This window comes from Homo sapiens, chromosome 6 (genome assembly GCF_000001405.40).
Source record: "Homo sapiens chromosome 6, GRCh38.p14 Primary Assembly".
Lineage (NCBI taxonomy): Eukaryota > Metazoa > Chordata > Mammalia > Primates > Hominidae > Homo > Homo sapiens.
Genome location: NC_000006.12, coordinates 109,087,024 through 109,114,023, shown reverse-complemented (window position 1 = coordinate 109,114,023; position 27,000 = coordinate 109,087,024). Strand labels below are relative to the sequence as shown.

Here is a 27,000-nt window from a genome sequence, read left to right as displayed (position 1 = left end):
CACTCCCATGTTCACTGCAGCATTATTCACAATAGCCAAGAAATATATACAAACAACCTAAGTGTCCATTTACAGATGAATGGATTTTAACAATATGGCAAACAAAGCTTTATTCTAGCAATGTCTGTACCCATTTGCCTTCCTTTATACTTCCTTAAGAGCAGGGACAACATCTTATTCATTATTCTATTACACTGGACTTTTTAACATGGCAGTCATTTAATAAGCATTTGGTAACTAAATTCAATTAATGTAATAGAAATACATACAACAAAATACATCTAATATTTAATAAATATTTACTACTGTATGTTAATACATACATTTTTTCACATTTAACATCTCCAAAATCAGGATTCACATTTAAACTATATTTGGCAGCAGTTTTTCTTTGTGATACATAAAATAATGCTGTGACTTATAATCTTTGACATCATAGATTTAATGAAGAAGTCTTTACAAAAATATATATTGAGAGCATTTTTCTGATGCTATTAAATAGGTAAATGCAAAGTCATGATGAGTAAAGATATGAGGGGGTATCCTGTATAGGTGGCTCCCCTCCTCCATCAAATCAGTGTATTAGATCTTCAAGAGAGAGAACTGTATTTTATTCATCATGTATCTCTCGGATGTGTTCACAGGGGCTCAATAAAATGAGGTAAACGAGTAAATGAACACAAAAATTTTGATCTGAGGAGGACATGGGCTTTTCTCCGGAAGAGGGGAAAAGTTAGGGGAAGAGGGGACGATCCATGTTACAAAGAAAATTATGAAGATAAATTGGCTTAAAGAAATAAAGATACCTAAATATATATGCCCCCAATACAGCAGCACCCAGATTCATAAAGCAAGTTCTTAGAGACCTACAAAGAGACTTAGACTCCCACACAATAACAGTGGGAGACTTTAACACCCCACCTTCATGTTAGACAGATCAACGGGATAGACAATTAACAAGGATATTCAGGACTTGAACTCAGTTCTGGACCAAGCGGACCTAAGAGACATCTACAGAACTCTCCACCCCAAATCAACAGAATATACATTCCTCTCAGCACCACATCACACTTATTCTAAAATTGACCACATAATTGGAAGTAAAACACTCCTCAGCAAATGCAAAAGAACACAAATCATAACAAACAGTCTCTCAGACCACAGTGCAATCAAATCAGAACTCAGGATTAAGAAACTCACTCAGAACTGCACAACTACATGGAAACTGAATAACCTGCTCCCGAATAACTACTGGGTAAATAAATATTTCTGCCAGAAATAAAGATGTTCTTTGAAACCAATGAGAACAAAGACACAACGTACCAGAATCTCTGTGACATATTTAAAGGAATGTGTAGGGGGAAATGTATAGCACTAAATGCCCACAAGAGAAAGCAGGAAAGATCAAAATTCGACACCTAACATCACAATGAAAAGAACTAGAGAAGCCACAGCAAACAAATTCAAAAGCTAGCAGAAGACAAGAAATAAATAAGATCAGAGCAGAACTGAAGGAGATAGAGACACAAAAACCCTTCAAAAAAATCAATGAATCCAGGAGCCGGTTTTTTGAAAAGATCAACAAAATAGATACACGAATAAAGGAGAAAAGAGAGAAGAATCAAATAGACGCAATAAAAAATGATAAAAGGGATATCACCACCAATCCCACAGAAATACAAACTACCATCACAGAATACTATAAACACCTCTACGTAAATAAACTAGAAAATCTAGAAGACATGGATAAATTCCGGGGCACATACACCCTCCCAAGACTAAACCAGGAAGAAGTCGAATCCCGGAATAGACCAATAACAGGTTCTGAAATTGAGGGGGCAATTAATAGCCTACCCACCAAAAAAAGCCCAGGACCAGAGAGATTCACAGCCGAATTCTACCAGAGGTACAAAGAGGGGCTGGTACCATTCCTTCTGAAATTATTCCAAACAATAGAAAAAGAGGGACTCCTCCCTAACTCATTTATGAGGCCAGGATCATCCTGATACCAAAACCTGGCAGAGACACAACAAAAAAAGAAAATTTCAGGCCAATATCCCTGATGAACATTGATGCGAAAATCCTCAATAAAATGCTGGCAAGCTGAATCCAGCAGCACATGAAAAAGCTTATCCACCACGATCAAGTTGGCTTCATCCCTGTGATGCAAGGCTGGTTCAACATACACAAATCAAGAAACGTAATCCATCGCATAAACAGAACCAATGACAAAAAAACCCATGATTATCTCAATAGACGCAGGAAAGGCCTTTGACAAAATTCAACAACCCTTCACGATAAAAACTCTCAATAAAGTAGGTATTGATGGAACGCATCTCAAAATAATAAGAGCTATTTATGACAAACCCACAGCCAATATCATACTGAATGGGCAAAAACTGGAAGCATTCCCTTTGAAAACCGGCAGAAGACAAGGATGCCCTCTCTCATCACTCCTATCCAACATAGTATTGGAAGTTCTGGCCAGGGCAATCAGCCAAAAGAAAGAAATAAAGGGTATTCAAGTAGGAAAAGAGGAAGTTAAATTGTCTCTGTTTGCAGATGACATGATTGTATATTTAGAAAACCCCATCGTCTCAGCCCAAAATCTCCTTAAGCTGATAAGCAACTTCAGCAAAGTCTCAGGATACAAAATCAATGCACAAAAATCACAAGTATTCTTATAAACCAATAACAGACAGAGAGCCAAATCGTGAGTGAACTCCCATTCACAATTGCTACAAAAAGAAAAAAATACCTAGGAATACAACTTACAAGGGATGTAAACGACCTCTTCAAGGAGAACTACAAACCACTGCTCAAGGAAATAAGAGAGGACACAAACAAATGGAAAAACATTCCATGCTCATGGATAGGAAGAATCAATATCGTCAAAATGGCCATACTGCCCGAAGTAATTTATAGATTTAATGCTATCCTGATCAAGCTACCATTGACTTTCTTCATGGAATTGGAAAAAACTACTTTAAATTTCAAATGGAACCAAAAAAGAGCCCGCATAGCCAAGACAATCCTAAGCAAAAAGAACAAAGCTGGAGGCATCATGTTACCTGACTTCAAACTATACTACAAGGCTACAGTAACAAAAACAGCATGGTACTGGTACCAAAACAGATATATAGACCAATGGAACAGAACAGAGGCCTCAGAAATAACGCCACACATCTACAACCATCTGATCTTTGACAAAGCTGACAAAAACAAGCAATGGGGAAAGAATTCCCTATTTAATAAATGGTGCTGGGAAAACTGGCTAGTCATATGCAGAGAGCTGAAACTGGATCCCTCCCTTACACCTTACACAAAAATTAACTTAAGATGGATTAAAGACTTAAACATAAGACCTAAAATCATAAAAACCCTAGAAGAAAACCTAGGCAATACCATTCAGGACATTGGCATGGGCAAAGACTTTATGACTAAAACACCAAAAGCAATGGCAACAAAAGCCAAAAATTGACGAATTGGATCTGATTAAACTAAAGAGCTTCTGCATAGCAAAAGAAACTATCATCAGAGTGAACAGGCAACCTACAGAATGGGAGAAAATTTTTGCAGTCTATCCATCTGACTATCCATCTACAAAGAACTTAGATTTACAAGAAAAAATCAAACAACCATGTCAAAAAGTGGGTGAAGGATATGAACAGACACTTCTCAAAAGAAGACATTTATGCAGCCAACAAACATATGAAAAAAAGCTCATCATCACTGGTCATTAGAGAAATGCAAATCAAAACCACAATAAGATACCATCTCATGCCAGTTAGAATGGCAATCATTTAAAAAGTCAGGAAACAACAGATGCTGGAGAGGATGTGGAGAAATAAAAACGCTTCTACTCTGTTGGTGGGAGTGTAAATTAGTTCAACCATTGTGGAAGACAGTGTGGCGATTCCTCAAGGATCTAGAACTAGAAATACCATTTGACCCAGTGATCCCATTACTGGGCATATACCCAAAGGATTATAAATCATTCTACTATAAAGACACATGCATACGTATGTTTACTGCGGCACTGTTCACAATAGCAAAGACTTGGAACCAACCCAAATGCCCATCAATGACAGATTAGATAAGGAAAATGTGGCACGTATACACCATGGAATACTATGCAGCCATAAAAAAGAATGAGTTCATGTCCTTTACAGGGACATGGATGATGCTGGAAACCATCATTCTCAGCAAACTAACGCAAGAACAGAAAACCAAACACCACATGTTCTCACTCATAAGTGGGAGTTGAACGATGAGAACGCTTGGACACAGGGAGGGGAACATCACTCACCCGGGCCTGTCACGGGGTTTGGTGCTAGGGCAGGGTAGCATTAGGAGAAATACCTAATGTAGATGATGGGTTGATGGGTGCAGCAAACCAACATGGCATGTGTATACCTATGTAACAAACCTGCACGTTCTGCATATGTATCCCAGAACTTAAAGTATAATAAAAATATATATATACTTTTCATTCTAATATTTAAATGTTATAGATCTACAACCCACTAAAGATTCATACTTTTAAACAGTATTTACCAAGACTTGCTCTATGGAACACTGGTTTCAAAGGATGTTAATTGAAATTACTCCCTAAATTAAATGAATTTCCTGGCAAATAACTTTCAGGAAATTGGTAAAACAAAATTAACCTTCTTTACCTGCAAGTCTTGTCAGTATCTTTAATATGCTACTATCATTGTAAATTTCCAAAATGAAGATGAAGCATGCATTTTCCAAATTTATGTACAACAGAAACCTTTTTGGTGAATACTCTTAAGAGATTAGCATTCCACAGAACAGACTTCAAGTAATGTCTATAATGTTTATATACATAATCATCAAAGCAGCTCTACACAGGAGACTACTATTGAGATATTATGAGACATGTAATTGATAACAAGAAATAACAACTGATAATAGAAATAACGAAGAGCAAATTGTCCACAACATCCTTGTTAGAAATTTGTATTTCTAGTGTGGGAGAGTAAAGGAAGAGAAAGAGACTCTCCTATTAAAAACAAGTTACGAATTCTAGCATTTGTGTATTTAAGTTCACTTGATTTAGTAAATAATCAGTCTGGTATATCTGATGGAATGGCACATAAAAATTGCGAAGTTAGTGTACCTTCAAAAGTACTTAACAGAATCATGATATAGCCAAATCATTCAGTAGATGCTATAACATCTTCTTGTTAATATAATTCATGAAACAATACTGTGGTTTCTCTTCAGAGCATATAAATCCTTCGCCTTTTTTAATTCAAGAAATAAGGAGGGCTCATAAATGAGATGGTAAAATTGAGTAACAGAATTCAAACAATTTGCATGAATTTATTTTGGAACAAGAAATAGAATTTGTCTCTCGTATTTTCTAAATTAATAAAGGCCAAAAAAATCACAGCACAAGGTCTCACAGGTATCATCTACCCCTTTTTGAACAGAGGAATGTAGGAAAATGCAATTAAGTCAAACAAAATAAGAAAAATGGGGCTGGCTGTGGTGGGATTACACGCCTGTAATCCCAGTACTTTGGGAGGCTGAGACAGGTGGATCACTGGAGTTCAGGAGTTCGAGACCAGCCTGGCCAAAATAGTGAAACCCTGTCTCTGCTAAAAATACAAAATTAGCAGGGCGTGGTGGCAGGTGAGGCAGGAGAATCACTTGAACACTGGAGGCAGAGGTTGCAGTGAGCTGAGATCGCGCCACTGCACTCCACCCTGGGTGACGAGAGTGAAACTCTATCTCAAAAAAAAAAAAAAAAGAGAAAAATGTAGAACATTAAATATTGTAGTCCTTATAAGCTTTGGTGTCAGAGACTCCTCCAGAACACTACTGCTTACTGGTGGGGCATTACATTTAGATTCACTGGTGTGGACAACACTAGTTTCTAACTAGTTCTGGGATCTTGTCCTAATTAGTAGCTTAACTTCTCCATAACTTTATATATTTATGAATTAAACAAAATGAATAACTTAATTTTGAGGTTTTCATACATTTCTAAAATTCTATTAAAAGAGAGTTGTACTTACAAACATGAACTTATTTTTTCTTTTCTTTTTTTTGATACAGAGTCTCTCTGTGTCGCCCAAGCTGCAGTGCAATGGCACGATCTCGTCTCACTACAACCTGCGTCTCCCAGGTTCAAGTGATTCTCCTGCCTCAGCCTCCCAAGTAGCTGGGATTACACCCAAGCGCCACCATGCCCAGCTAATTTTGGGATTTTTATTAGAGACAGGGTTTCACCATGTTGGCCAAGCTGGTCTCGAACTCCTGACCTCAAGTGATCCACCTACCTTGACCTCCCAAAGTGCTGGGATTACAGGTGTGAGCCACCATGCCCAGCCACAAATATGAACTTTTACTGAAGCTTTTGCCAAATTCTTGAGTTCTAAACCTGGGGTAACAATTAAGTTTTGTCTTCTCTGTGAATTCCCTTATGAATACCTTAATGCTCTTATTTAGACAACCATTAAGTCTAGATTTTTAAAAATAAAAAGAATCCATAATTTGCATTATTTAACAGGTATCTGAAACGCATGTTTTTCAGGCTTTAGAAAGACTATTAAGCAACTTATAAAATTATATGTAATAAGAAGGAAAATATAAAAAGTTCTGATTAATATGAAAGAGAAAACTCTCCTCTAACCTACACACAAAAGTATTAGATGATACATAACTTTAAAAAAATATATAGCCAAGCTCAAAAGAAAAAGGGGAAATGCCCAGATGCTAAAAACAGAGAGAAAATTCAAGCCAGAATTCGTGAATCATGGTTGGATTTTTTAAATGTTTAAAATGATTAAGAAAATCAGATTTATTTAAAAATATAAGTCTAATTTATTAGGTTCACAAAAGTTGCTTACTTAGGAAGATACTGCTTATTAGAATTGAGGGTCTGTTTTGATAATTGCTTAAGTATCTGATAAAATGATAGACTAAATTGAAAATTGTAGTTTGAAACGTATAAGAAATTTGTTTGTAAATACTATTACATATTTAAGGAGAATTTTATCTTTTATACGTACATGTTAACCAAACATTAATTTTATTTCGTTAGTTTTTTGAGATAGAGTCTCACTCTGTCACCTAAGTTGGAGTGAAGTGGTGCGATTTCAGCTCACTGCAACCTTTACCTCCTGAGTTCAAGAAATTTTCCCGCCTCAGCCTCCTGAGTAGCTGGGATTACAGGTGTGTGCCATCATGCCATGCTAATTTTCTTTTTTTGTATTTTTAGTAGAGACAGGGGGGTTTCACCATGTTGGCTTAGGCTGATCTTGAACTCCTGACCTCAAGTGATCCACCAGCCTCAGCCTCCCAAAGTGCTGGGATTACAGGCATGAGCTATCATGCCTGGTCTTGAACATTAATTTTAAAAAAGCCAAAGTCCTTATTTCCTTGCAAAAACTACTATACTTAAAATAGATGTAGTACAACTTGTAAGTTAAACTCAAAGTCTTAGGGAAAACTGCATATAAAAAATGACAACTTTAATAAATGGAATACTAATTAAAATAAATGAAAAGTATTGAGTTTCAAGAAAAAGGTCCACATCTGACACTAAAAACACTGACAACAAGGATACCCACTATCAGTAGTATTATTTAATAATGAATTGGAGATCCTGACAAAGGGACAAAACAGAAAAAGAAAATAAGATGTATAAGAGTATAAAAATTGTTATCTGTAGGAAATATGATTTTCTATATAGAACAACCCAAGATAATCTAGATCAGTGGTCCCCAATCTTTTTGGTACCAGGGACAGGTTTCATGAAAGACGATTTTTCCACGGACCTGGGTTAGGGGTGGGGATGGGATGGTTTCAGGATGATTCAAGCCCATTTCATTTATTGTGAACTTTATTTCTATTATTATTACATTGTGATACATAATGAAATAATTATACAACTCACCGTAAAGTAGAATCAGTGGGATCCCTGAGCTTGTTTTTGCAACTAGACAGTCCCATCTAGGGGTGATGAGAGACAGTGACAGATCATTAGGCTTTAGATTCTCATAAGGAGTGTGCAACCTAGATCTCTCACATGCACAGTTTGCAAGAGGGTTTGTGATCCTGTGAGAATGCTACTGCTGATCTGACAGGAGGCGGAGCTCTGGGGGTAATGCAAGCAATGGAGAGCAGCTGTAAATACAGATGAAGCTTCACTTGTTCACCTGTTGCTCACCCCTGCTGTGTGGTCTCGTTCTTAACAGGCCACGAACCCGTACCAGTCCATGGCCCGAGGGTTGGGGATCCCTAATCTAGATAATCTATCTAGAAAATGTAATTTCAAAACATACATGTGCACTATAGCATCAGAAACTATATGAATCATAGGGATAATGGCAAATAAAAATTTGTAAGGGCACTGTGAAAAAGAACAAAAAGATGGTACTGTTTTTCTAGTTATTAAGACTGATTATGGTACTTCAGTCATTAAAATAGTGGTATAGGCCTGAGGTGAGACAAAAGGGACTGATACAAAAGAAAAGAGAGTAAATAAACTTTTACATATGTGGGAATTTGGTATATGAAAAAGAGGGCATTTACATGGAGAAAGGATTGGCTATTCAATATTCACTATGCCAATATTCACTATACAGTGCTATCCACACGGTAAAATATAAACATATATCTCTACTCCATGCCAAACACAAAAATAAATTCTAGCTAGACTGAACATCTATACGTGAACAACAAACCTTTGTTTTAGAAGAAAATATAGAGTACGTTTCAGACTTTGGGTAAGAAGAGATTTCTTAAAACAAGACAATTTACAAATAAAAAAGAAAAAATGATAAAACTATATAAAAATTAAAATGTCTGTATAACAAAAAACATCATTGATGATATCTTTAAAAAAGAAACATATATAACATAAAAGATTAGTATCTGAAATACAGAAACAAGTTCTATCCTATAAATTATTAAGAAAAACACAAAGGTCAATTAACAAAGGAACAAAAGGTACAATGGAAGTTAAAAGACAAGAAAACACGAATAGCTAAAAGGACAAAAACGTTCTACTTCATTGATCAGGAAAATGCAAATTTAAACAATACAGAAATTATTTTACACCCATTAGATTGAAAAAAATTTTAAAAGAAGCCTATCAGGACCCAGTGCAGTGGCTCATGTCTGTAATCCTAGCACTTTGGGAGGCTGAGGTGGGAGGACTTCTTGAGCCCAGGAGTTCAAGATCAGCCTGGGCAATACTGTGAGACCCTGTCTCTACAAAAAAAAAATTTTTTAATTAGCTGGGTGTGGTGGCACACACATGTGTTCCCAGCTACTTGTAGGGCAGAGGTGGGAGGATCGTTTGAGCCCGGGAGGTTGAGGCTTGCAGTGGGCTGTGATTGTGCCACTGCACTCTGGTCTGGGCAACAGAGTGGGATTCTGTCTCACAAAACAAAACAAACAAACAAAAAACAAACAAAAAAACACGCCTATCAATATTAAGTTTTGTCAAGGATGTGGGGAAATGAAAATTCCCATGAACTGCCAGTGGGAGTGTAAACTGGTAAAACAAAACATAACTTGAAAAATGTGATCCTGTGTATATCCTATAACTCAGCAATTCCACTTCTCCGAATTTATGAGTGAACCCTAGAGAAAATGGCACATATCTGGACATATGTATAATGATGTTCACTGCTGCACTGATTGCAACAGAAAAAAATTTTTTTTTTAAATAAATATACATTAATAGGGACTGGATAAATAAGTTGTATCATATTCATACAATGAAACACTATACACCAGCTAAAATTTGAAAACAAGATCTACATTTAGCAACACAGATAAGCTCTGAAAATATATTGTTGAGTAAAACAGAAAGTAAGTTACAGATAGTAAGATATCTTCTATGTAACATTTTTTTAAAAGACAAAGACAATATATGACTGTGCCAAGAGCACTTTCACAACCTATGTGATATTTCATTTCATTGAAAAAAAAAAAAACAAAAACTAAAGCAAACTAGGTAAAATGTTAACATTTGTTCATTCCAAGGGGTAGTTTAAAAGGGTATTTATTTTGTTACTCTTATTTTTTGTTTGAAATATGTAATGCTTTTAAAAATGACATATAATTTTAATATCTTACCCCTATATATGTATATATTCATGTAAAATGTGGATAAGGAAAATAAGTAGAAAAATAAGAATAAAATCAGTAGTGAGACTGGTTTATAAAATTCATATTGTATGTTGCGTATATTGCTAGAGCTCGCTCACAAATCTTTCAAGAAGAGCAAAATGAAAATAGATTCAACAATTATTGGTTTTTAAAAATCTATCCATTAATATATGTCAGAAATACTAGAGATTTAGTCATTCAAAGCATACTATAGTAAATTTGGAGACACCAAAAACAGAAAAACTGGAGAAAATACTGAAGAGTAAACTTGATTTAAGTGGTTTACTCATTTATTCCTGAAAGATGGAACCAAAATAACATAGAAAAAAGGGGCATGGTATTCTGAGAATAGTATGTATGACAGTGTTTCAGAAAATATGTTTTTGAAGGGCTGAAAAGAATATCATTCAAATCAATCTTGTTAAGGAATTCAAATCGACCTTGTTAAGGAAAACTTAAAAATAAAATATACAGATTCAAATTAAGAGCCTTTATGATTCATTTGGGCAATACACATATACCCCACACATAAAAGTACACATATAGTACTTGGTTGACAAGACATTTTTCAACAAGCCAAAAGAAAAACTAAGGAAGCATTTAGAGGCAAAACTGCTTATGCTACTATACAGTAAATAATTAGTATAATTTCCTTTAAAAACTTAAGTTGAAGTCAGTTATCATAGAAAGAGATATTTTAAGTTTACATGGCTTCAGTGTTTCATTGTAGAGAAGGGTCAAACTATTGTGGAAAAATCACAGGTTGATTTTTGCAACCTTGTAAGACTAGGCAAAAAAGTAGCAAAAAAACAAAAACAAAAACCAGCAATGTAGACAAGTAACAAGGTAATTCAATTGGAGAATAATATTCTTAATTGTAGAAAGTCTTCCTAACAATTTTCACTTACAGCACTCAGCCAACTGCACATGCTGACAACAGATAACTAAAATGGAACTGTTAGTCCGGTTTCCTGATACATTCCAGATAAAGTTCTCCCTGGCCTCATCTTTAGGCTGACTTCAGGTCTCTCTCTCAAGGAACAGTTTTGAAGAATGGCACCAATATAGTTGTACAGATTCAGTATAATGGTCTTTAAAAAAAAGTTTTTCACCTTTTAATATTATTGATCAAAATAATAATTTCAGATCCAGCAGAAACTTTTTAATAAAAACATAAATCTAGGCACAGACCTTATACCTTTTACAAAAAAAAAACTAAAAAATGGATCATAAACCTATATGCAAAACACAAAGCTGTAAAAGTTCTGGAAGACAGGAGAAAATCTACATGACCCTGGGTATGGCAATGACTTTTTAGCTACAACACGAAAAGCATGATACATGAAAGCTGGACTTCACTAAAATTAAAAATTTCTGCTTTGCAAAAGACACTATTAAAGAATGAACAGACAAGCCACAGACTTGGAGAAAATATTTACAAAATGCAGGTCTGATATAGGACTTGTGTGTCCAAAATATACAAAGCACTCTTAAAACTCAATAGTAAGCTGAGCGTGGAGGTGCATGCCTGTAGTTCTAGCTACTTCGGAGGCTGAGGCAGGACTGCTTGAGCCAAGGGGTTTGAGGTTACAGTGATCTATGAAAGCAACACTGCACTCCAACCTGGGTGACCTAGGGAGACCCTGCCTCTAAAAAACAAAAACACTCAACAGTAATAATAATTTAAAAATGGACAAAAGATCTGAAAAGACACCTCACCAAACATGATACACAGGCAGCAAATAGGCGTATGAAAAGATGCTCAACATATGTCATTGGGGAATCACCAATTAAAACAATAATGAGATACCATTACATACCTATTAGAACAGCTAAAGTCCAAAACACTGATACCACCAAATCCTGGCAAAGGTGGGGCGCAACAGGAACTCTCATTCATTGGTGGGAAATAGAAAATGGTACTGCTGCTTTGAAAAACAGCTGTATGGCTGGGCGCGGTGGCTCACGCCTATAATCCCAGCACTTTGGGAGGCCGAGGCGGGCGGATCACGAGATCAGGAGATCGAGACCATCTTGGCTAACACGGTGAAACCCCGTCTCTACTAAAAATACAAAACATTAGCCGGGCGCGGTGGCGGGCGCCTGTAATCCCAGCTACTCAGGAGGCTGAGGCAGGAGAATGGCGTGAACCCGGCAGCGGAGTTTGCAGTGAGCCGAGATGGCGCCACTGCAGTCCAGCCTGTGCGAAAGAGTGAGACTCCGTCTCAAAAAAAAAAAAAAAGAAAAAAGAAAAAGAAAAACAGCTGTGAGTTTCTTACAAAGCTAAACATAGGGTTACCTGAGATCCAGCAATCATATTCCTAGATGAGTTAAAAATTTTTTGCCCAGAAAAAGCCTGCACATAAATTTTTAGGACACTTTATTCATAATTGATAAAAACTGGAAGCAACTAAGATGTCCTTCAAAAGGTGAATAAGCAAACTGTGATATATCCATACAATGGATTATTTTTCAGTGATAAAAACAAATGAGCTCCCAAGCCATACATATAAAGACATAAAATAACTATAAATGCACATTGCTAAGTAAAGGAGCCAGTCTAAAAGGCAACATACTGCATGATTCCATGGTCCATGACCAAAGTTAGCAAAACCTCTCAATATCTGTTCCCTAATTAATTACTCTTCTAAAATGTAACTGTGAAAATTTACTGATCTAAAGAAGTTCTTCTAAATTCCATAACATCTATTGATATGTTGCAGCAAAAAAGGCAGACTGTTTTGTTTTGTTTTTTTCCTAAGACAGAGTCATACTCTGTCGCCCAGACTGGAGTGCAGTGGTGCGATCTTGGCTCACTGCAACCTCTGCCTCCCAGGCTCAGGCGATTCTCCTGCCTCAGCCTCCTGAGTAGTTGGGACTAGAGGCGTGTGCCATGATGCCTGGCTAATTTTTGTACTTTTAGTAGAGATGGACTTTCACCATGTTGGCCAGGATGGTCTCGAACTTCTGACCTCAGGTGATCCACCTGCCTCAGCCTCCCAAAGTGCTGGGATTACAGGTGTGAGCCACCATGCCCAGCCAAAAAGCAGACATTATGAATATAAGAACTCTGAATTAAACAATGTGAAACTGTATCACATTAAATAAAATTTTATGTGACCAGTAATTACATTTCCTAGGCTACAGATTCTGTAAACTTTCTTTCTTTCTTCTTTTTTTTTTTTTTTTTTTTGAGACAATCTCACTCTGTCACTCAGGCTAGAGTGCAATGGAACGATCTCAGCTCACTGCAACCTCTGCCTCCTGGGTTCAAGCGATTCTCCTGCCTCAGCCTCCCAAGTAGCTGGAATTACAGGCGCCCACCACCACGCCTGGCTAATTTTTGTATTTTCAGTAGAGACGGGGTTTCACCATCTTGGCCGAGCTGGTCTCAAACTCCTGACCTCAAGTGATCGGCCCACCTCAGCCTCCCAAAGTGCTAGGATTATAGGCATAAGCCACTGTGCCCGGCTTTGTTTTTTTTAGGACGAACTTTCTAAAATGTTTTTATTATAATGTACCCTCGTCCATCCATTAATTACTTTGTGTTTTTGTAAATGATAGATAAATATGCCATACCTTTGAAAGTTCTGTGGCATTATATCATTCTTCCATTCATTCATTCCTTTATTCTTGCGTCACACATTTATTAAGTTTGTACTAGGTACCAGGCACTGTACTCAGAGGTAGAGATAAGATGATCAACAAAAACAAGCACAGTAGTTCCTCTTGTGTGCTTAAGCTCTACTGAAATAAACACACTTTAATCAAATCATGGCACAACTGCAAAACTAATTGGTAACATAAGAGCAACTCAAGGTTTACGGTGCAATAGGTCTATTTACAAGAAGAGTATTTAATTAGATCAGGGACACCTCTGAGAAAATGATTATTTGAGCAAAGACCTGCAAGAAGAGGAGTTAAAGACAGGCTAGAACAATCTGGACAAAGAACACAGTAAAAGAGTGCTGCATCCATACTCGCTGTCTCCCATACTCTACTAAATAAAAGTACCCATTGTTGGGCACGGTGGCTCACGCCTGTAATCCCAGCACTTTGGGAGGCCGAGGCGGGTGGATCACGAGGTCAGGAGATCGAGACCATCCTGCCCAACATGGTGAAACCCTGTCTCTACTAAAAATACAAAAATTAGCCGGGCATGGTGGCGGGTGTCTGTAGTCCCAGCTACTCAGGAGGCTGAGGCAGGAGAATCACTTGAACCTGGGAGGCGGAGCTTGCAATAAGCCGAGATAGCGCCACTGCACTCCAGCCTGGGCAACAAGAGCAAAAACTCCTTCTCAAAAATAAATAAATAAATAAAAATAAATAAATAAATAAAAGTACCCATCTGGCTTTTGTACCCTTTACTCCACCAAAAGTTTCTTATCAAGATCCCAATGACCTCCATGTTGCTAAATGTACTGGTCAATTATGAATCCTCATCTCATTTGACCTACAGCAACATTTAACATAACTTATTTTTCCTTCCTCCTTAATTACTTTCTTCATTTTGCTTCTAGAACACCTACTGAACAGTGGGTTTTTCTCTGCTCACTGGCTGCTCCTTCAGTCACCTTTGCAGAGAACTCCAAATCCACCCAAACTCCATAGAATATCACTTTTGGTGATATCAACAACTCCTATCAAAACACTACTATAAAATCCAAAATTATATCTATTGCCAGATCTTTCTCCTCACTTCTGGACTCATTTATTCAACTGCCTCCTCCACCTCCACATCTCAATGTGAATTTCTTAGAGGCATCTCAAACTTAACGTGGCCAAGCTAAAATACCAACCTTTCCTCTCTCTCCCATTCACAAATCTGCAGATTTTCCCATAATAGTAAATGGCACTTCCTCCATTCTAGTTACTCAGGTTAGAAACTTTGAAGCCATTTTTGACTCTTACTCTCACACAATCTGTCAGCAAAGTCTGTTGGCTATACTATCAAAATGTATCCAGATTCTGTCACCTGGATTATTACTTTAGTTTCCTAACCAGTCTCTCTGCTTCCACCCTTGCTTCCCTATGGTCTATGCTCAACACAATTTAAAAGAAATATTCACTTCAGGCCAGTTGCAGTGGGTTATGCCTCTAATCTCAGCACTTTGGGAGGCTGAGGCAGGAGGATCACTTGAGGCAATCACTTGAGGAGTTCAAGACCAGCCTGGGCAACACAGTGAGATCCTGTCTCTACAAAAAGACAAAAATTATCTCAGTTATGTAATTTCAGTTAAAAAAAAAAAGGAAAAAATACAAAATTAGCTGGGCTTGTTGGCACGTGCCTGTAGTCCCAACTACCTGGGAGACTGAGGTGGGAGGATTACTTGAGCCCAGGAGTTCAAGGATGCAGTGAGCTATGACTATACTCCAGCCTGGGTGACATAGTCAGATTCTGTCTCAGGAAAAAAGAAAGAGGCCGGGCACGGTGGCTCACACCTGTAATCCAGCACTTTGCAAGGCTGAGGTGGGTGGATCACTTGAGGTTAGGAATTCAAGACCAGCCTGACCAACATGGTGAAACCCTGTCTCTACTAAAAACACAAAATTAGCCAGGTATGGTGGTGCATGCCTGTAATCCCAGCTACTTGGGAGGCCGAGGACGAAGAATCACTTAAACTTGGGAGGTGGAGGTTGCAGTGAGCCAAGATTGTGCTATTGCACTCCAGCCTGGGCAACAAGAGCAAAACTCCGTTGAGACAGAGGGAGAGAGAGAGAGAGAGAAAGAGAGAGAGAGAAAAGTAGTCATTTTTTAAAAGTCAGATCATGCCCTCATCTGCGCAAAACTCTCCAATGCTTTCCCAACCCAATTAAAAATGTTAGTCCTTTCAGTCACCTACATGTTCTCCTACCATTACTTCCTTTCTCTGTGACCTCATGTTATTCTCCTCTTTGTACTCATTGTGCTCCAGCCACACTAGCCTTCTTGCTATTTCTCAAATGCGCACTCAGGCTTCTGCCCAAGGCCTTTGCACTAATTCTCTTCATTAGAATGTTATTTGCCCAGGCATCTACATGGTTTATTCCCTCCCCTACTTCATATCTCAATTGTCCCCTTCTGGATTATGTCTTTTCTAACAACCTTATTTAAAAGTGAACCTTGCCCCTCACATCCTGGCACTCCCCATTCCCCTTCCCAGTTGTTTTATTCTCCACTGCATTTGTCTTCATTTCATTTACTAAGTGTTTTACATATTTATTTATTATCTCTCCTCAGTAGAATGCAAGCTCTATGACAGTAGGAATTTTTATATATTGTGGTCAATGCTGTATCTTCAATGTCCTGTTATATAAAAGGGACTCAACAGAGATTTGTTGAGTAAACGCGTGGGTGAAATGGAATATGAGAACCAATGACTGAAAAATGGACTGTATGGCTGATCTGGAGGGCAATATATGAAGTTAGTCTGAAAGAGTACCAGATGATGTCAGGCTTTATAAAGGAGTTTTGTCTTTAACAGTAGTAGGACACCACTGAATAGTTTTAACCAAGAGAAAATCTGATCAAATCTGCAGTTTCAAAAAATCATTCTGGCAGATATAATGGAGAACTAATGGAGGAGGGTCATTGTGAATAATTGCTACTGTAGTGGTCTTGAGAGATTATCGCAGTTTGAAGACAGGTGGAGAGAAAAATATATTTGAAGGATATTTTGAGAGATAAGGTTGGCAGAACTTCATAATAATTTGGCCATAGAAGTATGAAGGGCAAGAAGAAATAAAGAATAATGTTTAGCTTTCAAATTTTCACAAGTAGATGGATAGTAGTGTCCTTTGCTGAAATAAGGAACACTGAAAAAGAATTAGATTCATAAGAGATAACTATGCATTTGGTTTTAGGTATGTTGAGTTTGAGATGCTTTTGAGATATCCAAGAAGAAATATCCAAGAGATATTGTGAAAGCTGAGAGGTGAAGCTGAATGGAGCTATTCATTTGAGAGTCATAGGTGTTGGTGAAGCCATGGGTATACATGAGATCATATTTAACTACGGCATAAAAAGGCACCCAGCCTTAAGAAACTACCCGACCCTTTATGGGCTGGATAGAGAATGAAGATCCCAAAAAGGAGATGAAAACGGAATGGTTTTTGTTTTGCTTTTTCAATCACACTCATAAGTTATTCCCTTTTTAAAATTCAGATTCAAACTAGAAGTGTCAGAATGTAACAAGGCTTTTGAAATTAGACCAATTCATCAGAACTATGCATCTATTCAAAAATAGCTCACTTACAGAAACGATGTAAAGAATTCACAATACCTGTCTCTTTGTAGCTTCTAAGTGCATCAATACACAAAAAGCACCCTTCCCGTCCCACCCCACACCGCCAAGTATGCATGATTTGGCTTACTGACGTTTCCTGAAAGTACCCTATCTCTCACTCTGGGCCTTAGCATATGCTGTTCTTTTGGTCTTCATTTCCCCTGGGATGAAGATTTCCCTGACTTTCCAAGATTGGGCTAAGTCATCTCCTTCTAGACATCCCAGTGATATCATGTATTATTGTAACCGTATGTCTAACAACTAGTTCCTCTAACTAGTAAGACTGTCTTTTTCATTGTTGTATACTCAGTGCCTAGCAAGACGAAATTTTTAGAATTTAGTGCAATGCAATTCTGCAATGTAAAGAATTAAAATCTACACCGATTATCAGTCCACTGATGGCCGTTCAAACCTCGACTTTTCTCAAATAATAACTTTTTAAAAGCAAACTAATTTTAAGCAAATGACTGAATCTTTTGAAAAAGTCGACTAAGTTTTGGAGACTTTTACGGTTTTGCTTTCTTTTTCCTGCTGTATCCTTAAAGCCTGCAAGAATTCCTATCTAGGAATACTGGGGATTCTTTTACGAGATGGATTTGACAACTTGCTTTCAAAGCCCTGCCTAGGATTTCATTTGACTGAGCAAATAAAGCCCAGAACATCCCTAAGCAAAGGCAAACAAAGGTGCAAATGCGCGGAGATCCCAAATCCACCCCGCGTGTGTCCACAAAAAAGGGCGGAATCAGAGGCAGCAGCGCGAAGCTCCAGTTTCCACAGCATCCTTCCTTCTTGGCCTTACTTAGGCCGCTCCCTGCGACCCTTGGGATCAGGATCCCAAATCCTTGCCTCACCCACCACACCCCGCGCTTGGGCAGCTGGACTAGTCCTTCCCACGCAAGTCACTGGAAAAAGTCCTTGGACTAAGGGAGGCCACCCTAGATGGCTTTGTCTCCAAAATCCCAGAGGAAATGGAGGAAGGAAAAACCCTGTCAAGGAAAGGTGACAACCCAGCTTACAGTGCTTACCAAGCAGACGCTCTCAGTCAGCCCCTGCCACCGCTAACCGTTGGTTCGCGGGCACCCACAGGCAACGTCGCGGTGGCCCCTGGGGGTTGTAGTTTCTGTCGCAAACAAAACGCGCCGGCAGCATCGAAACTACATTCCCCACAAGTCAACGCGAAGACGTCCTACCGACTTAAATCTGGGGTTTGGAGTAATGAAGAGGCCGTCACTACTTTTAGGGTGATCTTAAATGTAGACTCAATTTCTTCCAGGAGTCCCTTCGCGCCCTCTTTCTTTGTCGTGCTTGTTTTATGTGTGACGAAGTCTCAGTGTACTTCTACGTCTTACTTTTTCCTTCCCCTTCTCCAGGACAGAGTCCAAACGTCCGGGAACGGAAACCGCCTCAGGGCGCAAGCTTAGCGCCTCCGGGGGCGCTTGGCCCAGTTCGCAGTCACGCATGCGTAGCAGCCGGCAGTGGCTGGCAGCCGCGCGCGGCGCACTTGGGGTCCGGAGGGTAGCCTGCCAGAGGGCGGGGCTTTTTCCTAAGGCTTTGCCTCGGCGGGTCGCGTCTGCCTGGGCGGGGAAGAAGGCGCTGGGGCCGGGGCGGCTCCCGGTTTGTGCCGGGCGGAGAAAGGGGAGGGGCTGGGGGTGAGGACCCCGTCTCCACTCCCTGCTCCCGCCCTCTGGGCTGATCCCCACCGATGGGGCTGGGCGAAGGGCGGGCTTTGCGCCTCGGGCCCCGCCGCCCCGCCAGCTCCGCGGCCCAGCCTGGCGCTCGAGGATTGCCAGGGCCGCCCTGTGCCCTCTGGCTCGGCGGTGGTGGGCGAGGGCTCAGGGATCGGAGAAGTAGCGTCTTCCCGGGGGTGCCGAATTGGCGGGGCTGGGGGACGCTTTTTTTCACCGCCGCCCGCCGAGACTACGGCTGCCCGAGACTGCCGCCCTCCGACAGCGCCCAAGCCTCCGGCCGCTGCGGCCAGTGGGCCAGGGTTCGGCGAGCCTTCCCTGCCGGCGCCGGCCGGCTGCTGAGGCGCTGGGAGGAGCTGCGGAGGGCGGGGACTGGTGTCGGAGAAGGGGCGGGGTGGGAACGCCGGAGAGAACCCGGTGGCTGCACAGACAAAAAAGCCCCGAATGGCTGGAGGGCGTTCAGCTGTTAACAGCCTTTTGGGGCAGAGCACGGATTTGACAGCTCCACAACGTGAGGATATCCACTGACCCCGCGAGACGGAGGAGAACGCTTCCCCGAAATTCTCTGCCCACCAAAGCCAGCGCTGCAAGGTTGCAACTTTCAAACTTTGTTTTTCCAGAAAGAAGACTGCCCTTTCGTGTACAAGGAGAGGGTGAGAGGGTGACCTAGCTTGTAGATCGGCTGAAGGCACCAGTGGTTCCAAATGTCACCCAGATGTGTGTTTTCATGACGATTTGATTTCTCTGATTTTATTTTTACATTTTTCATTTTAAAAATACAAAGCAATTTTTTTGGGGCATGCTGAAAGGTAACTGAAGACCGCAAAGGAAAAACTATTGTCATGGCTGAAGGAGAGAATGAAGTGAGATGGGATGGACTCTGCAGCAGAGATTCAACTACTAGGGAGACAGCATTGGAAAACATTAGGCAAACCATTTTGAGGAAAACCGAGTATCTTCGTTCGGTGAAAGAAACACCTCATCGTCCATCAGACGGGCTTTCAAATACCGAGTCTTCGGATGGGTTGAATAAGCTACTTGCTCATCTGCTTATGCTTTCTAAGAGGTGTCCCTTCAAAGATGTGAGAGAGAAAAGTGAGTTTATTCTGAAGAGCATCCAGGTAAGGAAGAGCATTTTAAATACAACTATGTCTCTACTACAGTTAAATTTTACTTGCCGTTATTCACGTTGTGTTTGTTTCTATTAGGTTGTTATGTAAACTTTTATTATGAGTTTACATCTTTAGAGTGTTCTGTAAGTAAACAAGTAGTGTTTTTCTAGAGTTTTAGGCAGAAACTGCTTTGCTCCTGGAAGAATATATGAAAACTACAGTTAATTCCAAGTAAATACTTGTTTTTCCTTATATTTCTTTTTACATGTTGTTGGAAAATGTAGCCAGTGTTTTTTTTTCACATTGTCACAGTGTTCTGAGTGTAAAGGCTCACATTTAAAAGCCTCTAAAATGATAAAGGATATTAAATGTTTCCTAGTCAGCCTGTTCAAGATAATTGGTGGAACAATTTTCTCTTATTTTTAAAAACAAAACAAACCAGGATGTGTTCTCTAAATGCAACCTCTCTTTTTTCAAGAAGAGAATTATATAAAATAATAAAAACCTATCTTAAAAGAAGCTAATATCTTCATGTTGAAAAGGTGGACCCAGGTGGGGTATTTGATAGAAACACTTTTATGGCAAATTGCTCAACTAGCTTTCTCTGTGTTTGCCTGAATTGTTTCTTTTTCACATGTGTAGCTATTTAAGATACGAGTGCAGCAGGTTAAAAATATTATAGTTTTTCCTCCATTTCGTTCATAATTTATCCTGTTTTATTACAAGGTGTCTTAGAATACTTTTTTTTAAGTTTTTAGATATTGACAATATTCAGCAACACCTTATATATGCTTGTCAATCTTTACATTTCTCAATCCACGTGTGTTGTCCAAAGTCCTGTATGAGAGATTTTTAAAATTTAAAATGTACTTGGGTAACTATGTAAGTTAAAAGTGACAGTTTTTATATACTGGCTTGAATTTAGTTTAAAGCAACAGAAAAATAATATCCACAAAATGAAGACTCTATTTAAGATCTTGGGATATTTCTTCTCACTAACACTTTGGAAACAATTGTTACAATTCAGAGTTACCCGAGAGGAATTAATATACTAGGTAACTGAAGTTTACCCTTTGAAACACAAAAAGTTATTTCTCTATCTTCTAGACTGTAGTGACTGTAACAACCATTTTTGTCCATAATGGGGTCATCATTATGCATATCAACTATTGTTGTGCAGCAAAGGGTGGAGGACTGACTATATGATCCATTAGTTTTTGTATTTTTGTGTGTAATTTTTATAGTTTTTCTGTTCTTTCCTTTGCCGTCAGGATACTTGACTTTGGTCTCTTCCTGATCTTTCATTTTGCTGCTTAATTCATATTAGAATGGGAAACCAGATAACCAATCGTGTTAAGAGTTATATTGAAAATAAAAGTAAGCAGGCTCTGGGGAGCATAGTATCAAAGGATTTCAATATAATGATAAATAAGTGGGTACTGGAGTCAGAGTTGGGCTCAAATTCCACTCCTTTACTAATGTCCTTGCCTGTAACCTTGGGCAAATTCCTTGACCTTTCTTAGCTTGGATTTCCACATCTGTAAAATGGGAATAACAACACAGAGCTCTTGTGGGAATTAAATCAGATGTAAAGTACTCTGGTATATATAGTAGATGCTCCTCTCCCTTTCATAAGTGAAATACATAGACTATGCAATATATATTTCAAGACTCTTTCATCCTGCAAAAGGACTCAGGAATTTCCTGGGAAGGTTCCCTATAGACTTATACTCTTTTTTTCCATCTCTGCATCTATTGTACAATTATAAAAGGCAATTTACTTATATTGTGTTATAAGCACATGCTTTTGTGTCTGTCTCCCATAGGAAGGCTATGAGTTCTTAAGAGTACTGGCTGGGACCTGGAAGCTACTAAATAAATATCCAGTGGATGAACAAATTTATACTTTCTTTCTGTTTTTCATCAGTAGTCTGAATAGATGAAGTTTTCAGTTTAGGGAGTTTCCACCCCAGCATCATTCATTTATGCTTGCAGTTATGCAACAAATGTTTATTGAACTCCTGCTGAATGTCATTCTGAGAACTGAGGACCAGTGGTAACAATTTTGACATCATACCAAAGGGAAACAGACCATAAAGAAGTAAACAAATATAAAATTTAATTTTAGATAGTAAGGGAAAGCTTTCCTGAGGCAATGACATTTAAGCAGAGACATGATAAATGAATAAATATTACCCATGTAAAGGTGAGATTTGTGAGGGGACATTCCGGACATAGGGAACGGTATGTATGAAGGCCTCATGCCAAGGAGAGCAGATGAGTTCTAGGAGCTGAAAGTAATGCAATATGGCTGGGGCAGACAGTTTGAGGGTGGCGTGAATAGCTTAAGAGGACATACTCTGGAGTTTGGCAGACCTGGCTGCGATACTGTCATGTGTCACTTAATGATGGTGATACACTCTGAGAAATGCATCGTTAGGTGGTATCATATTTGTTTGAACATCATAGGGTGAAATCACACAAACCTAGATACTACACACCTAGGCTATGTGTTATATAGCCTGTTGTTTCTAGGCTACAAACCCGTACAGCGTGTCACTGTACTGAATACGCTTTGGCAATTGTAATGCAATGGTAAGTATTTGTGTATCTAAACATAGAAAAGGTAGAGTAATAATATAGAATTACAATTGACCCTTGAACAGCATAGGTTTGAACTGCATGAGTCCACTTATAGGAAGATTATTTTTTCAATAGAAGTTATACTAAGTTGGGCGGGGTGGCTCACACCTGTAATCCCAGCACTTTGGAAGGCTGAGGTGGAAAGATCTCCTGAGGTCAGGAGTTGGAGACCAGCCTGAACAACATAGCAAGACCCATCTCTACAAAAAGTCAAGAAAAAAAAATTAGCTGGGTGCAGTGGAGCACACCTGTAGTACCAGCTATTCAGGAGGCTAAGGCAGGAGGATCGCTTGAGCCCAAGAGTTCGAGGTTGCAGTGAGCTGTGATTGTCTCATTGTCCTCCAGCCCTCTGGCGACAGAGCAAAACCCTGTTTCAAACAAACAAACAAACAAAAGTTACACTTGAGTATGCCTGCCTCTTCTGCCTCTCCTTCCGCCTATTCCACCTCTATCACCCCTGAGATAGCAAGACCAACCCCTCCTCTTGATCCTCCTCCTCAGTGTACTCAAAGTGAAGACCGTAAGAATGAAGATCTTCATGATTATCCACGTCCACTTAATGAATGGTAAATATATGATCTCTTCATTATGATTTTCTTAATAACATTTTCTTTTCTCTAGCTTATTTTATTGTAAGAATACAGTATATAATATGTATAACATACAAAATATGTGTTAATTGACTGTTTATATTATCAGTAAGGTTTCCAGTCAACAGTAGGCTATTGTTGGCTAAGTTTGGAGGGAGTCACAAGTTAAACACAGATTTTCAACTGTGTGGAGGGTTGGCCCCCTAACCCCCTTGTTGTTCAAGGGTCAAGTGTGTAATCTTATGAGGCCACTGTTGCATATGGGGGTCCATCATCAGCTGAAATGTTACGCAGTATGGGACTGTACTTTATTAACTCTACAACTTTGAATAAGTTACATAATCTCTCCTTGATTCAGTTTCCTCATCTGCAAAATGAGCATTATGCTTATGGTTCCTGCCTCACAATGTTGCTGTGAGAATAAAATAAATGATGTTTGCAAAGCATAGCACAGTGCCTAGCATAAAAGAAATGCTCAGTTAATGTTAGGTATGCCTGCTATTACTAGGCAGAAACCAGATCCCAGAGGGGCTTATAGGCTATTTAAGGGTTGTGGACTTTATCATAGAAATAATGGAAGCCACTGGGGGATTTTGAGCAAGGTAGTATAGTGATTGATAGTGTGTCAGAAGGATCACTCTAGAGAATGGATTTCCATGGTCAAAAGTGGATGTGTGACATCAATTAGGAGGTTGTCCTACTAGCCTATGACAAAAGTGATAGTGGACTAGGATGTGAGGTAGGGCAGGAGGGAGTGGAAAAAATTAAAATGGGTCTGATAGATATCAAGGAGTTAGAAACCACAGGATATAGTATTTAGTTGGATTTAGAAGATGAGGAAAATAACAAAATTAAGCATGGCTCTAAAGTTTTTGGCTTGAGGTACTTGGTGAATTGTGCAATTGTTTTCTGAGACAAAAGAGTGGCAGGGGGTCAATTTAGGGGAAAAATGACTGCTGTTTTAGACATGTTGAGTTTAAGTTGCCTATGAGACATCCAAGTAGAAATAGCTCCTAAATGAATTTCTGCCCCCGATACCGCTGTTCTAGTTCTGTCACTGCTATGTCTTCTTCTCCAGATTAAACTCACCCTCCACTTTTATATCTATCCTCCACATAGCTGTAGAGCCATTTATCTAAAATGAAAATCTATGTAACTTTACTGGCAAAAGCCCTTTAGAATAGAATTGAATTTAAACTTCTTAATGTCATATAGTACCCAGCATTATCTGGCTTTCACTTACCTCTCCAGCTTCACTGCCTACCATTTTAGCATCAGCCTCACATGAGAAAGCAAATATTAATTCAAATGTAGCACTCCATAATGCTTTCTGTTATTCATTAGTAAAGCAGCAAAAGCTGTGGTGCATATGCAATTTCTGCAGCTGCTCCTGAAAGCCCTTAATTGCTATAGGTCAGCTAAAAGGGCTGTAGTTGGCAAGGGAGAAACGATGACAAGGTGGTAGAATGAATTCAATTCCAAGCAGCTAAATCTGTTAAAAAAAAAAAAAATGGACACATTGGGAGATAGCATCTTTTGTTTATACCCCAGTTCTCAATTTATTGATTCCACATCAGCATGTTTAAATATATTCACATTTTTGAGAAATATTCTGGGCCAGGCAGTCACTGTACTTAGGACTTGAAGATCAGTAAGACTTGTTTCCTGCTTTTGAAGAAGGTTTTCTATTCTCATCCAAGGCTTTATACTGGGTTTTTAAAGAAACTTTAAAAAGAAGAATTACACCTTTTGATACTCTTGATTCTCTAAACAAAGGAATGGGAGTATTAATACTGGCCCACTTTCCTAATATAGTCTACTGGTGAACTATAGTCTTGATGATACATGTAATTAAGGAGGAAAATATGAGAGCACATATGTATCAAAAGATTTTGAGGCCTATCCAGAATAGCCAAGTACTTTTCCAAGAATGGTCATTTGGTCATTTTCATAAGTTTGCCAGCAATCAATATTGTCTGAAAGTAAATTGGCTTAAGATAGAAAATTTAGAATAAGCAACAAAATACTTATCTTTGGTAAGTGGGGTGGTGGAGGCTTTCATTTAGTAAAGTGATTATTACCCCCCCACCTCCAGGAGAAATGAAACTTTCGTTGCTGGGTAGGATGCACATTTATAGCTGTTAGAGTTACAGTTGGAGTTGCAGTATCTAGTTGCTATCCAATTGAGTAATAAATAGATTGAAAATGTAACAATAAGTTTATTATTTCACATAATAAGTCTGGAGGTTGGCAGTTCCAAGCTTGATTGATTCATTGGCTCAACTACATTACTTGTCTGCTTTCTTTTTTTTGTTCTCCTTCCTCAGCATAGCAAATGATGTCTCCATTCCTACAGCATGCTATTCCAGGCACCATGTGCAGACATGACTATCTGCAGCTAAGAAGAAAAGAGTTTCTTCCCACGTCTCTCTCTCGGGGAAGAAAACCTTTCCCAGAAACCCTCTAGCAGACTTCCTCTCAGTTTCTATTGACTGGGATTGGGTCACATGCCCTTTTCTAAGCCAGTCATTGATGAAGAAATTGGGCATTTCTATTTTTGGTTTGGACTAATCAGCATTCAGCCCCTAAGGACCAGGAGACCCGCCCCCTGCCCCCCCATCACTTGAACAGAAAATTTCTCGATGAGGAGAAGCAGTACAGAAGGCAGTCAGGCCTAATTAGAGGCTTCCATTAAAACTGCATGTGTATCTAACTAGATAATATATCACTTGGTCTATTTATAATTTGGATCCGATTAGATTAGAAGCATACTTAATTCATTTTTAGTGGGGCTATAAAATATAACAGATTGGAGACATTCTAGAAGCAGATTTGGTCTTTTTAAATGATTGTTTTGTTTTGATTTTTTTTTAACTGCCATTTAGTGGAGCCAAAAGTCTAAGGTAGTGCATGTCAAACATTCACTGCTGACTCTTAGATATCACAGCAAATATGAGAGTCCTCTTTCAATATTTACACTAAGCTTCTCTCTTCCATACCACTATTTTCTGGCCTTTCTTATTTTATTGATACGTTGTGAACTCGGTCCCTTTCCCTCAGAAAGCCTTGTGGCTTACTTCTCATTGCCTCCTCTCATTCGTGTCTTTGACCACTTTCCTTCCTTGCTTTTGAGGCTCAGAGAATATTCTTTATTCTCAGGTTTTCTGTCCTTCTTTGGATAAAGAATGTGAAGAAACTGAAGGCAAATCTTTAACTTTTTTTTTCTAAATTGTTTGAAGACAGCCAATTTTTTTTCACTTTCTGACTTACAGGAGGAATCATATCTGTACTATCTATACTCAGTGTCTTCTTTATAATATATAAATACATCCTGTCCTATGTTTTGACTCTTCAGAAAGATCAAAATTAACAACAGTACTCTTTATGTGTTCAGATTTCGTCTATTTTATTTTATTTATTTTTGTTTATTTATTTATTTTGAGATGCTGTCTTGCTCTGTCGCCCAGGCTGTAGTGCAGTGGCACGATCTTGGCTCACTGCAACCTCTGCCTCCCGGGTCAAGCAATTCTCCTGCCTCAGCCTCCTG

At 38.9% G+C, this 27,000-nt stretch overlaps 2 protein-coding genes across 21 annotated transcripts in view, besides 4 other annotated features; one reads left to right on the top strand and one right to left on the bottom strand.

The window, feature by feature from the left end:
• CEP57L1 (centrosomal protein 57 like 1) overlaps nucleotides 1-18,861 on the bottom strand; it is a 79,256-nt gene extending 60,395 nt beyond the window's left edge. For 16 of the 20 annotated variants that reach the window (NR_146889.2, NM_001350658.2, NM_001350653.2 and 13 more), the window contains exon 1: nucleotides 18,449-18,517. The gene's annotated coding sequence lies outside the window, so the exon portion shown is untranslated. Of the gene's footprint in view, nucleotides 1-7,933; nucleotides 7,990-13,737; nucleotides 13,833-18,448; nucleotides 18,518-18,772 lie in introns of those variants that run through there. The other 4 variants (NR_146888.2, NM_001350655.2, NM_001083535.3 and 1 more) reach the window with 3 other exon arrangements.
• Nucleotides 12,175-12,566: a silencer, noted in NCBI's record as "fragment chr6:109422661-109423052 (GRCh37/hg19 assembly coordinates)". NCBI's record gives its function as "represses an EF-1alpha promoter that drives an FKBP-Casp9 reporter gene in an ReSE screen in phorbol 12-myristate 13-acetate-treated (for megakaryocytic differentiation) K562 erythroleukemia cells {active_cell/tissue: K562(+PMA)}" and the evidence as "EXISTENCE:reporter gene assay evidence [ECO:0000049][PMID:32094911]".
• Nucleotides 18,531-18,790: an enhancer, noted in NCBI's record as "active region_24921". NCBI's record gives its function as "activates an Ori minimal core promoter by ATAC-STARR-seq in GM12878 lymphoblastoid cells {active_cell/tissue: GM12878}" and the evidence as "EXISTENCE:reporter gene assay evidence [ECO:0000049][PMID:35858748]".
• Nucleotides 18,851-19,550: a silencer, noted in NCBI's record as "silent region_17457". NCBI's record gives its function as "represses an Ori minimal core promoter by ATAC-STARR-seq in GM12878 lymphoblastoid cells {active_cell/tissue: GM12878}" and the evidence as "EXISTENCE:reporter gene assay evidence [ECO:0000049][PMID:35858748]".
• The window catches only part of SESN1 (sestrin 1), a 110,538-nt gene continuing 102,715 nt past the window's right edge, over nucleotides 19,178-27,000 (top strand). The window contains exon 1 of the mRNA NM_014454.3: nucleotides 19,178-20,229. Coding sequence (NP_055269.1) covers nucleotides 19,951-20,229 — 279 coding nt within the window. The 5' untranslated portion in view covers nucleotides 19,178-19,950. The remainder of the gene's footprint in view (nucleotides 20,230-27,000) is intronic.
• Nucleotides 19,661-19,810: an enhancer, noted in NCBI's record as "active region_24920". NCBI's record gives its function as "activates an Ori minimal core promoter by ATAC-STARR-seq in GM12878 lymphoblastoid cells {active_cell/tissue: GM12878}" and the evidence as "EXISTENCE:reporter gene assay evidence [ECO:0000049][PMID:35858748]".